General features: G+C 41.4%; 1 protein-coding gene and 1 pseudogene across 2 annotated transcripts in view; one reads left to right on the forward strand and one right to left on the reverse strand.

Annotated features, from left to right (window-relative positions):
* Window positions 1-12,634, forward strand: part of FRAS1 (Fraser extracellular matrix complex subunit 1) — a 486,947-nt gene that overhangs the window by 121,600 nt on the left and 352,713 nt on the right. The gene's annotated exons all lie outside the window — the stretch shown is intronic.
* Window positions 1,290-3,223, reverse strand: SERBP1P5 (SERPINE1 mRNA binding protein 1 pseudogene 5; annotated as a pseudogene).

Below are 12,634 nucleotides of genomic sequence, written 5' to 3' on the forward strand. Positions count from 1 at the left end.
TCCCACCCCCTAACTACCGCTGATGCACAGATGTTCGAGGGGAGCGAAGGGCAGCCATGACTATACATTCCTCTTGGAATTGCCTGTGGTTTGATCTTCAGGACTCTTCAGTATCTCACTGTTCCCACCTACACAATAGGGCTACTCACGTATCAGGAAAGTGTATAGGAACACAGAGAATGATGAAGTATTCCTTTTGTTTCTCATTCTGGTGTTGCAGTTGTGGATATAGCAAAGGAAAACTTCTTGAGAATGCAACTTAGAACCAGAAAATGGAATGGAATGGGAAAATGCCATTGTTCTCACCGACTGGAAGTGTATCTTCAGTTGAGGCCCTGTTGGATCATTTACATTTTTCTCATTCTTTCAGCCTTGGGGCCTTTTCTTGACATCTGGCTCTCCACAGAAAAAGCACCTGTGGTGGCCTCTTCTTTTTAATATCACGTGCCAGCAGGTAGGCAGGCAAGTTATGCCAAGACATGGCTCACAATCTCCTCAGGCCTTGGATGAAAGAAAGTGGAATTCCCCTGAATTAGCAGGAAGTGTTTCATTAAAAATGTGAGTTGTATAAAACTCTCTAAAATGTGGAGCTTTGAAAAGCCATTCCTTCCCTGCTCCAGAAAATATATTCAAAATGACATCTCTATAAACTTTGAATGTGTTGTTTGTACAGAAATCCAAAGAAGGTGAATAAAGGAGGGATTCCAGGTACTTATTTCATCCAAATAATTTATCTAAGGGAATTGACTTTCATCTGGAGGTGGAATAAAACCATATATGATTAAGAGACATCTGTTATATGTCTCTAGGCATTTAAGGAATGGAACTGGCAGCCACTTGTGAGACAAATGAATATGACTGTCCCACTGACATAGGAGCTACCCAGGGCATAGGAGCTACCCAGGGAAATGCAGGGAGTTGGGCAGTTGGTGCAAGGATGCTGTGGCAATCAGTGGGAGCCATGGAGAGAAGTGGCTGAAAAGGTTTGGTTAACAAACACTCTTATATATATGAAGCTTGCTTTTTGACTACTAATGATATCACTATACTTACATTAACTTATTCAGCCAACCGACACTTAGCATGCTCTCACTGTGTACTAGGCACTAGGATAAAAGTCAGTTCCTACTCCTACGAGGTTCCTAGTCTAGTGGAAGAGATACACAGGTAAACATTCATTCATTCAACAACAAATTGAGCATATACAGTGTCTCAGGCTCTGGGTGTGCTGGATGTGGTGAACAGGATAGATGGTGCCTAATGGTATGAAAGCTTTGATCTAGTGGGGGAAGCAGATTTTTTTTTTCTTCAAGTACTGATATTTCTGTATATAAAGATTTAGCATATATATATAACAGCTATCATGAGAAGTGAAAAAAGATTTTTCCCCAAAAATGAAAATATTAAAACTAAGTTAAAATACATATAGTTAGTATTCCACACAGAATAAAATTTGACAAATCAAAGTTTAACATGTCCCAGTTGATCATGTGTGAATATGCAAAGCATGTATTAAAGCCAGTATGTCCAATATTTAAAACCAGTTTGTAATTGGGGGAACTTCTAAATCCTTAATTAAAAAACACAAATGAAGTGAAAGCTTTAAACTGGTACACACTGTTCACACCTATATTTCAAGTTTGGAAATGCATATTTGCAAGCAGCAATACAAAAGTATTCATGAAGAATGCATAATCTCTGAAAATTATGAAAACATCCCTGCTACCAATACATTTCTAAATACAAAACTGACTACCATATTTGTTACTTCTGTGTAGCGAGATAAGTTCATTTTTGAAACAGATAAAATTCAGTCTTTAGGTGTGAATGGTATGAATGACAGTCTTTTTTTTTTTTTAATTTGTCATTTGGAATCCTTAAGCATGCAAAAGCTTTGAACAGAAGGGTTCACGAAGGAACCAGGGTTGTCTTATGGCATCCAGTTAAGCCAGAACTGGGAATGCCTCTGGGTCATCCACATCAGGAGCAGAAGTACTTGACTTGTCGGTCCTGCTGCCACGGTTTGGGCGCCCACCACGCCCATGTCCACCTTGTCCTCCCCTGCCGCCACGTCCTGGGCGGCCAAGGTCTCCAAAATTGATCTCCAGCTGAGACGTTATATCATTTGCTGGCTTCTGGAAATGATGGTCCATAACTGAATCCTCAGCATAAGCCTCTTCACTCTTTGATTTATGAAAACAAATCCCTTCTTCCACTGCCCATCAGCACCTTCATTTGGTTTTCAGATATTAAATTCTACTTTTGCCCGGTCCTTATTTTGAATAGCCTTCCACTCATCCAAAGTCATCTCTTTTGGACCCTCCTCTTTTACCTCTTCAACATCATTCTCCTTATTTTCAGTGTCTGCCACTGGATGATGTTCTTCACCTTCAGGTGTTTCGTCAGTCACATTTGATTGATCCAAGTCAGTTAATTCGTCTTTGACAGTTCCCCAGTTGTGAGATCCGCTACCTCCACGTTTGTCCTCGTGCTTCAGGCCACTGTAATGTGAAAAAGAAGATCTATCACTTCCACTATGCCTATCAAATTCACGTTTGCCACGAGAATCAAATCCATCTCCTCGGCCCATTCCACGTCCACGGCCCCCTCGACCTCTTCCAAGACCACCACGACCTCGAATAGGTCGGTCAATAATCGGTCTATCAACTGAAAATTAGCCTCCTTCACCCTTTTCTTCAAGTGGCTTTTCGAATCTTCGTTCACAAGGTGGTTGCCTTTCTGGTCTTCTATCAATTATTTTCCCCTCACCCTGAAGTTGTTGATCAGGTCTTCTTCCAACTCGTCTTATTCCTTCTTTCTTAAGCGCCACGGGCGGCTGCGTCTCCTCTTTCTTGTCAACCACGCCAACGCTGCGGGGCAGCGGGTTCTTGCGGTCTTTCTGGGACTCCTTGCGCAGCTGTTTGCCTGCCGCGTTGGAGTTGGTCTGGGCCGCCGCCTGAGCTGCGCTCTTGGCCCCAGGGCCCCCAACGCCACCCCTGCCGGCTTCTTTTTTCTTGTTCTCCGCTGCCTTCAGCACCTCGAAGGGGTCCGATTCGTCGTCAAATAACTGGTCGAATCGGTTGGTGACCACACAGCCGAAGCCTTCCTGTAAGTGCCCAGGCATGATGGTGGCTCGGCGGCGGGTTCCTCTACGGATTGCAGCGGGCCGCGCCGAGCCAAGAGCGCCTGCTTCAGCTCTTCCCACAAGATGGCCGGGCCAAGATGGAAGCAGGTATTTAATAATTTCACAAATGACCATAGAATTATATTTGTAAGAAATGCTATAAAGCAAAAGCTCAGGATGCCATGAAAGTATAGAACAGGGGCAACCGTGTTGTGGTTATATGATGTACCATGTCATATGTGCTGCAGTGGAAATGTACACGGGGAGCACCTGGGGGCCTGGAAGGGGAGCTTCACCCATACTGAGGCCAGATAAGGAAGGGTTCCTAAGAGAAGCAGAGTCTGGATCTTAGAAGACAAGTAAGAGGTAACCAGGCAAAGAAGAAGGGTGGGCTCCCAGGTTTCCACTATTTTCCTGGGTGGATGATGATGCTATTCAGCAAAGCAGAGTGCAGGAGAAAAGTAGGTTTAGGGATAGTGACAGTGAGTTTGATTTGGGTCAGTTTAAGTCTGAGATACTTGAGGAAATCTAAGTTAAAATGCCCAGAGGGGCCAGGCGCAGTGGCTCACACCTGTAATCCCAGCACTTTGGGAGGCCGAGGCAGGCGGATCATTTGAGGTTAGGAGTCCGAGACCAGCCTGGCCAACGTGGTGAAACCCCGTCTCTACTAAGGATACAAAAAAATTAGCTGGACATGGTGGCACGTGCCTGTAATCTCAGTTACTTGGGAGGCTGAGGCACGAGAATTGCTGGAACCCAGGAGGCAGAGGTTGCAGTGAGCCAAGATCGTGCCACTGCACTCCAGCCTGGGTGGCAGAGGGAGACCCTGTCTCAAAAAAAAGAAAAAAAGAAAAAAAAAAATGCCCAGAGGACAGAGAACTGTGTGAGTCTGGAGTTCAGCACAAAGATGAGAATGGATGAGAGAGGGAGAAAAACAGGAACTCAGGCTGAGAAGAGGTACACAGCAGAGAAGCTGGAAAAAGAGATAGAAGGAGCAGCTTAAGACAGGAGGAAAACCAGGAGAGAGCAATGCCGCAGAAGTCTCTGATGTTGAGACAGGGTCGAGAGTGTCCAGAGTTGTAGTGGGTCAAGCCAGATATGGACTTGCATAATTCTTGGGTTGGCATGGGAAGGCTGTTGGCATCTTCCACAGGTGCAGTTTCATGGGCTGATGAGAGTAGTAGGTGGAATGATGGGTATGGACATGGAAACAAACATCCTAGTTTCTGAAGTCTACATCTCTAGGGCAGGTATTTTAATTCCCAGGAAAGCAAAGTCTCCAACCACAAGAACAAAGCTGTTATGAAATATTAACAGTCACCAGGTGAGGCAGAGTGGGGATTGCTAGTCTCTGCACAGGAGTTGTTTTGGCGTCCCCGGAAACCACACCACCTATGCAGATTGGTGGTCCATCTTTCAGCAGCCCTGCTCAGGAATGTGCTCACAGTGTCCAGAAAATGTATTGTATTGTTTCTATGTTGGCATTTGACTGTTTTGGACATAATAAAGAGTGACCTTGCCTTACTTTCCTGTCAAATTATCTCTTTAGTCTTGGTTTTAAAGTGTGTCTTCTACCAACTGGGCTAAAGAAGTGCAGGCTTCTGTGAGTAGTCCATAGTTCTGGGCATGAGGTATGGCAGGGCATTATTTAGGATTTATCTTTTTTCTCCCTGTTTTCATTCTCTTTGTGTGTGTGTGTGTGTGTGTGTGTGTGTGTGTGTGTGTGTGTTTAAATATATTATAGCCATACAGAGTTCTAGAAGGTGGTCAACACATTATATATTTAATTAATTAATTGAAAAGTTCAAAATAAATAACAACAAAAGAAACCTGAAAATTTTAAGGACAAAGAGATAGTGTTGGGGAAAGGGAAGTAGCATTTATTTAGTGCTTATTATGCTCTAAGACAGCTCTTCCTGGTCAAACTGTGTCCATTGACCAGTGACGTTAGTATCAATTGGGAGCTTGTCAGAAATGTACACTGTAAGCCCCACTCAGAGCCACCTACTCAGAATCTACGTCCCGTATGATTGTGCACACACTAGAGTTTGAGAAACACTGCTCTGGGTTGATTATAAATTGTCCCATTTATTCCTCATAGCAAAGCCGTGAAGTACAGGTAATTATACCCCAGATCAGTCAGGGTCACTGGAGAAACAGAACCAGCAGTAGATAATATTAAAAGATTTATTACAAGGAATTGGCATACATGACTGTAGGGGTTGGCTAAGCAAGTCTTTTACTGCAACTACTCTGCCACTACAGTGGGAAAACTGTCATGGATGATATGTAAATGAATGAGTGAGCTGGGTTCTCATAAAATACACTGAAATTTGAATTACATAAAATTCTCATGTGATACAAAATATTTTTTTTTCCCCTAACTATTTAAACTTGTAAAAACTGTTCTTAGCTTGTGGGCAAGACAAGTATAGGCAGTGCATTGTATTTGGCCCACAGGCTATAGTCTGTCAGACCTTGATCTATAATATGTACTTGGGTACTTAACTGCAAATATCAACTAAATTCTGACTAGTCCACATCTATAGGACAGGCAGCCAGGAAGATTGTGGGCAGTCTGCAACCCCTGGGCATGAGCTGAAGCTGTTCTCCACAGGGAAGTCAGGAAGGGATGATTCAGTGAAGGGAGAGCAATTGTGGACCCAGGTGCTGTTTGGAGCCTCATTGACAAGGAAGAGCCCAATCCCTTATAAAGGCCCACCTGATTAGGTCAGGCCCATCAAAGATGATGTCTGTAGCTTAAAGTCAACTGATTAGGGATTTTGTTAACATCTGTGAAATCTCACAGCAGCATCTAGATTAGTGTTTGACTAAATAACTGGGAAAAAGTTTATGTATGCTACCAATGGCTCTGTCCTTCCTTCTGTGCTCATAGTTTAGCCTAGCCCTGTTGACATGAAAAACCATCACATCTTCATTTTTCAGCAAACAGATGTCATAGGCCTAGTAAGTGGTGCCCTTGGGTCATAGGCCTAGTAAGTGGTGCCCTGGCATTCAACCCCAGGACTGTCTACCATGATGCTTCTAGAAGTATTATCACTTTTCAAGATGTGTTGATGAGACCAGTACTTGTAGAATTAATGCTGCGTGTCAGTTGATCAAAAATTATTTGCAAAGCTCCTGTTGTATCTTGTGTAGGAGCCTGTGGTAGGTAGGCACTTTGTGAGTGTGATTTAGTTGAAAGCAAATAGAGTGAAAGGCAAGTCAACTGACTGAAGGGGTTTATGGCATGTAGCTGTTTTATTGGCTTCAGCTTTGTTAAAGTAAACTTGATTTATCAAGATTATTGTCTTGCAGAATTTAGATGGAATGTATTTGTGCCAGAGTTTATAGATTGCAGGTTAGTTGTTAGCCTTTTCAGATAAAACTGCAGATGGTATTTGAATCCCTATGCTCACGGGATTGTTTTTCACTTTAGAGGCTGTTTGTAAGCTTAGGTTATTAGCTTTAGAGAAGATTTGAATATGAGTATTTTTTTAATCTAATAAAGTTATTTGCTTTTCTTGATTGTTAGAAAAAAACTCCAGCAAGTTGTGACCAGACGCCTTGCATTCCTGACTGGTTGATTGTCATACAGTTTTATTTTGAGAACATGCAGTATTTTGGTTAGCATGTAAAAATATCTATACTTGATGCAGATCAGAACAAGCAAAATCTTTGAACTGTAGACAGCTAATAAGTGCAATTTGCCTACTTCTTGAAAATCATCAACCTTGGCTTTGACTCTTGTCTGTTTGTGATTTCTGTGTCTTTGTTCTCAGACTCTCTTGTCCTATCCTAATAACCTATGTTTCAATCAAGGCTTAATTTGGCATTTTCTATTCAAAATGCTTTTGTGGTTCTTTTTGAGGCTATCCTCTTTGCTGACCCTTTCCTATAAACCTGCTGAGTCTCGTTGCTTTCTTGTGCCTCATGACTCCAAAAAACACTTAACCTTAAGGTTGAATATTCCACAGTTGTCATGGGAAAAGTGCTGTGTGTAAGACATATAGCTGTTTGGTAACATCAGAAACTTGGGGTTTTCAACATACATAGGTCAGGAAATTGATAACCTATGGTTAAACTTGCAGAAGATTCATATTTTACTTTTTCCACAAACAGCTTTGATGAATGTCTGATTTTTTTAGAGAGTTGAGAAACAGCTGTTTGATAGACTGCTTGGGAAATTAAGATCTTGCTCATACTTTTTTTTTTTTCCTCCAAGAATCATGAAACCTTGATAGGAGCCTGGGCCAGAGAATACTAAATGGTGATCAGTTATCAGGGATATCTATTATAAATGCCATCTGTTCAAGGCTTCACATATATTTAATAGCATATTTTGCTGAAGTACTCTATTTATCATAAAGCCTGTCACTTGTGAACTATGTGGAAGTGTGTATTAATTTGGAGCCACCGTATTAAGTTTGAATCACATGAGGCTTATTAGCATTTGCCAGGTCAGGACCTGCTTGGATTCTCACCCCATTGTTTTATATAGATATAGTTTTAAGACAAACTTACTGGTTTTTTTCATGTAAAGCTTGTCACCCAGACCACAGCAGGAATATGCAATGTGACACAAATCACTGTACAAACGGTTGCAGCTGTATTCTTCAATGATTTCCCAGTAGACAACATCAAAATTGTGTTCTGATTAGTTATTTTCTAGTGGCAACTAAATATATAAATAACAAGAAGATCGTAATGTGATGGGAGTTTCCCGGGGTAAAAACCCTTAATGGGTCATGCTATTGCTTTTCAGTGTTTTGTCTTCTTTTCATTCTGCTGCTCTGCTATGTCTAATTATGCCTAAACTCCAGCAGAAGTTTTATTTGTGTATTTTATGCCAACATGTATTATAGTAATATATGTACTTAGCTTCTCTCCAAATCTTTGAGCCTAAAATCTGGTCTGATTTACTTTAGTTTTTTCCAAAGCACACAATAAATATTTTTGAGGGAATGCATGCATGGATGAGAATGAAAGTGTTGCCTCATTTAAAGAGAAACTGTGGTCAACTCTCTATACAAATGGTAGAAACGAGAGGTGGAAGGGACATATTCTAGAGTCCAGTTTCCTTTCCTGGTGTTTGAAGGTTCAAACAGAGCTGCAAAGCTACTTGTATGTTCTTCACTGTGTTACTTTGTTGGAGAAAATGAATCTTTTAATCAAGCGTGATGTTTTAGAAGAGGCACCCATGGAGTGATGAAAGGGGAGAGGGCCCTTAGCTTTGTCCTCATCAGCTGGACAAGCAGAAGGATGACATCACCCCCACACCTGCTTTTCTAATTGGGCGAGATGATGATTCATAGACCCCATTTACAAAGGTGTGGAGGGGTGATAGCTGACTTTTGCCCTTTGTAGAAGTTATTCCTCAAACTTTGTCCCCATAGTTGGCAGCCTCAGGCCTCAGGTGTCCTACTGTCTCCCCAGGCATTTCTGGGGGAGAAGTCAAGGAACTAAAGTCATAGCTAAAATTAAGACTATTGCCCCTCAGAAAGATATCTGTCCTCATGGTGAGACATAGCCTATAAATGCTGTTGCTATCCTTTTTTTTTCTTTTCTTTTTTCTGAGATGGAGTCTTATTCTGTTGCCCAGGCTGGAGTGCAGTGGCAAGATCTCAGCTCACTGCAACCTCCGCCTCTCAGGTTCAAGCGATTCTCCTGCCTCAGCCTCCCTAGTAACTGGGACTACAGGTATGTGCTATCACACCCGGCTAATTTTTTGTATTTTTAGTAGAGACAGAGTTTCACCGTGTTAGCCAGGATGGTCTTGATCTCCTGACCTTGTGATCTGCCCGACTTGGCCTCCCAAAGTGCTAGGATTGCAGGCATGAGCCACCACGCCTGGCTCCTGTTGCTATTCTTAAAGACAGCATCAGCATTTGATTTTATGCGTCTGTTTCAGTACATCAGGATCAACAGAGGTGCTGTTGGTGATGCAATTAAACAAGACCTTAAGAATCTGGTACTAAAGTTTAAATTCACCAAGTGTAGGGTGCATATGATTAACGAGAGGTAGAATTTGTCTGAGTGGGGTCTTGGTCACCTGTCAACAGTTATCCTTCCTTTGCCTTTTCCCCTTTCTTTCTATGGAAACAAATACTCTATAGCTGTAGTGGTATGCATTTACATAAACTTGATTCCTTCCTCTGTGGAGAAAAGGAAGGTGTCTTATCAGCCAGGGTTCTACCAGAGAAACAGAACCAGTAGGACAGTCTATCTGTCTGTCTATCTATCTATCTATCTATCTATCTATCTATCTATCTAATCTATCTATCTATATTTAGGTTGGTGCAAAGGTAATTGAGGTTTTGACCATTACTTTTAATGTCAAAAACTGCAATTACTTTTGCATCAACCTAATATTTCAGGGAATTGGCTCATCTGATGATGGAGGCTGGCTAGGCCACTGGACCTTGCAGTCCACAGGTGAAATTTTTTCCTCCTCAGGGAAACTTCAGCTCTACTTATAAGGCCTTTCAACTGTTTGGATCAGGCCCAACAAGAATATAAAGGAACATTGCTTTTACTTAAAGTCAACTGATTATAGATGTTGATCACATCTATAAAATTACCTTCACAGTAATGCCTAGATTAGCATTTGATTGAATAACTGGGGACTGTAGCTTAGCCAAGTTGACACATAAAACTGACCATCACATAAGGGTTTTTGCACATTGAGCTCCAGATTTTATATGGACTCTGTAAAGGGAAACATTCTGTATTTTTCTAATGAAGGGTCACCAATACCATAATCACTGGTTTAGTCCTTGCATAGACAGTTGGCATTACTCTGTCCCCGTCCTCATGCTATAAATGACTATAAAAGGGCAGCGGTATGGATGGACAGTCATAAAAACACCATTATGGGTGAAAAACAGCTCAAAGTATGTGCCCTACAGATGCGGTTTTATTTCCAGCTATTATCTAATTAATTATGTCCAGGTGAAGAGGCATGTGGTATTACTGCCGAACTGTAGGTGAGACCCAGACTAAGGCAAAAGGTTTGCTCATGTTAAAGGATACAGTAAGTCATTGGAGGACTGCCTGGGGATATACATCATCTGCTTCTAGTTCTGACATATTTACCTGTAAGCTTTGCCTCTCCTGACTTATCTGACCACATGTATGATTATATCATGTCTCATTTAAATGCACAATTGTGGATAATATTTTCATTAAACTTAGTTTTGACTTCTCAAAACTGGAGGATAAAAGAAATACTCCCTGCTTAGCTGCATTGGAGATGAATGGACGAGGTAGTGCATCCCACTTGGTTTCCTTCAGTTCAGACTGGACTGCCATAATCATTTTCTCTGATATTCCTATAATGAGCTTTCACTTTCTTGATCACTTTCGTTGAACTTCCCTGTGTCTTCTTGCATTGTTCTTGGAATACTGAGGCTGGAAACATGTACTCAGTTCTTCAGGTTCAGAACATGATATGAGCAGAAGATAAGGATGTGTTTCTATCATCCCAAGGATGTTTTTGCTGGATCTTTCTCCTTTAAAAGTTGATGTGTCCCAAACTTTTAGGGATGTAGGCCTTCTTCTCTTGCTGTAGTCTCTTTCCAAGTGTTCTCATTCGGCTCTATGGTTCAAATATGTCTGTACTGACTTAAAAATTCTTCCCTCTAGCCCTGACCTCTCCCATGGCAGACACAGATGGCAAGTCTCTATTTTACTTCTCTATTTGCATATATAATAATCCTCAGATTTCACAAGTTCAAAAAAGAACTCTTTATTCCATATTTCCTTCCCAATCAATTTCTTCCAATTTCCCTTTACCTCATATAATTTTTGGCTAAAGCCAAATGTCTCATAGTTGTTTCTAATTCTACCCTCCACATCCAATGCATATAAATTCTACTTCCTAAAGTAGACCCTCAAACCTATTCCAAAAATTTTTCATCTTTTGCCTGCACTGATGCATTAGCCATCTAACCTGGTTCTGTTGTTTCTACTGTTGGCCAGCTACATCCTTTCCTGGCCGCAGAAAACCTCAGCTAAATATATTAAATTCAGATCAGGCCCTTTCTTTTGTATAATTTCTTCTGATGCTTTTCTGGTGCACTTAGTGCACACTCTTTACCTTGGTCTGCATCTTCCTGCCTCCCCCTCAGACCTCAGCTCAGATTCTTCACCTTATGACCCACTACAGTACAGCCGCTGTGACTTCCTTTCCTCACATGTCAGTCAAATTTGTTACTAGCCCAAGCTTTTGCACTGTTTAGTCTTTCTCCCTGGAATACTCCCTCAGAAACCCCACATGACTGGCTCCCCCTCCTTCTTCAGATCTCATTGTAAAATCACTTCCTCAGAGAGGCCTTCCCTGTCTATGCTCTCTGAACTGGTCATTTCTCCCACCTCCCTTCTTCATTTCCCCCATTCACTGCTTTTTTTTTTCTTCCCATTGTTTGGTTATTTACTGTTTATCATCATCTGCTAGAATGTACTATTGTGAAGGCAAAGTCTTCCCACCCACCTATCCTCTTTTCCTCCTTCTCTCCCTTCTTTCCTTCTTTCTTTCCCTCCTTCCATCCCCCATCCCCCCACCACACCCCTTCCCTTCCCTTCCATTCCCTTCCCTTCCCTTCCCTTCCCAGTTTCCCATAGCACAAGATAGTACCTGACACAGAGAATTTGCTTAGTACATGTTATTTGAATGGTTACACAAATGGTTGTTTGTTTTATTGTGCTTCTGTTGTGTAGCAATGTACTAGGCTGACAGTTTCAAGGGGTTCCATGGACTGAATTGTTTACACTGCCAAATTCATATGTTTAAGACCTAACATCCAATGTGAGTATATTTGGAGATAGGGCCTTTACAGAAGTAATTAAGATAAAACAACAAAAGATGTAATTAGGGTTAAATGAGGTCATAAGAGTGGGATCTTGATCCCATAGACTTAGTGTGATTATAAGAAAAGGAAGAGAGACCAGAGCTCACTTGCTGTCTCCATACGTGCACACTGAAAAACACTCAGTGAGAGGGTGGCCATCTGCAAGCCGGGAAGACTCCTCACCAGAAAATGAATTGGCTGGCAGCTTGCTCTTGGACTTTTCAGCCTCCAGAACTGTGAGAAGAAATTTCTGTTGCTTAAGCCACCCAGTCTACGTATATTGTTATAGCACCCTCAGCAAACTAAGACAAGACAAAGGGTGATCTACAGTGACTGTCAGGTTGCTTTTGTAGGTCTTAGCACATGTCTGGATCTTCTCACCTTTCACCTGTAATTTAGGTGGAATTCTCTTAAATGTGGTAACATTCTCTCATTTAAAAAGATGTACCAATTGTTGGCCTTGTCATCTAGCTTTTTGGATCATCAGTTAAACCGGCATTTTATTGCTCTAGGGAATTATTGTTATTTTATGAATTAGAAATTCATCAATATGTTAAAATATATTACAGTAACGTGAAAAAATGTTTAAAGAAATCTGTTCGCACTACCAAATCCTCGGGATTTGTTTGTATTATTTTCTTTTTTTTTTTTTTTAATTATT

Source organism: Homo sapiens, chromosome 4 (assembly GCF_000001405.40).
Source record: "Homo sapiens chromosome 4, GRCh38.p14 Primary Assembly".
Lineage (NCBI taxonomy): Eukaryota > Metazoa > Chordata > Mammalia > Primates > Hominidae > Homo > Homo sapiens.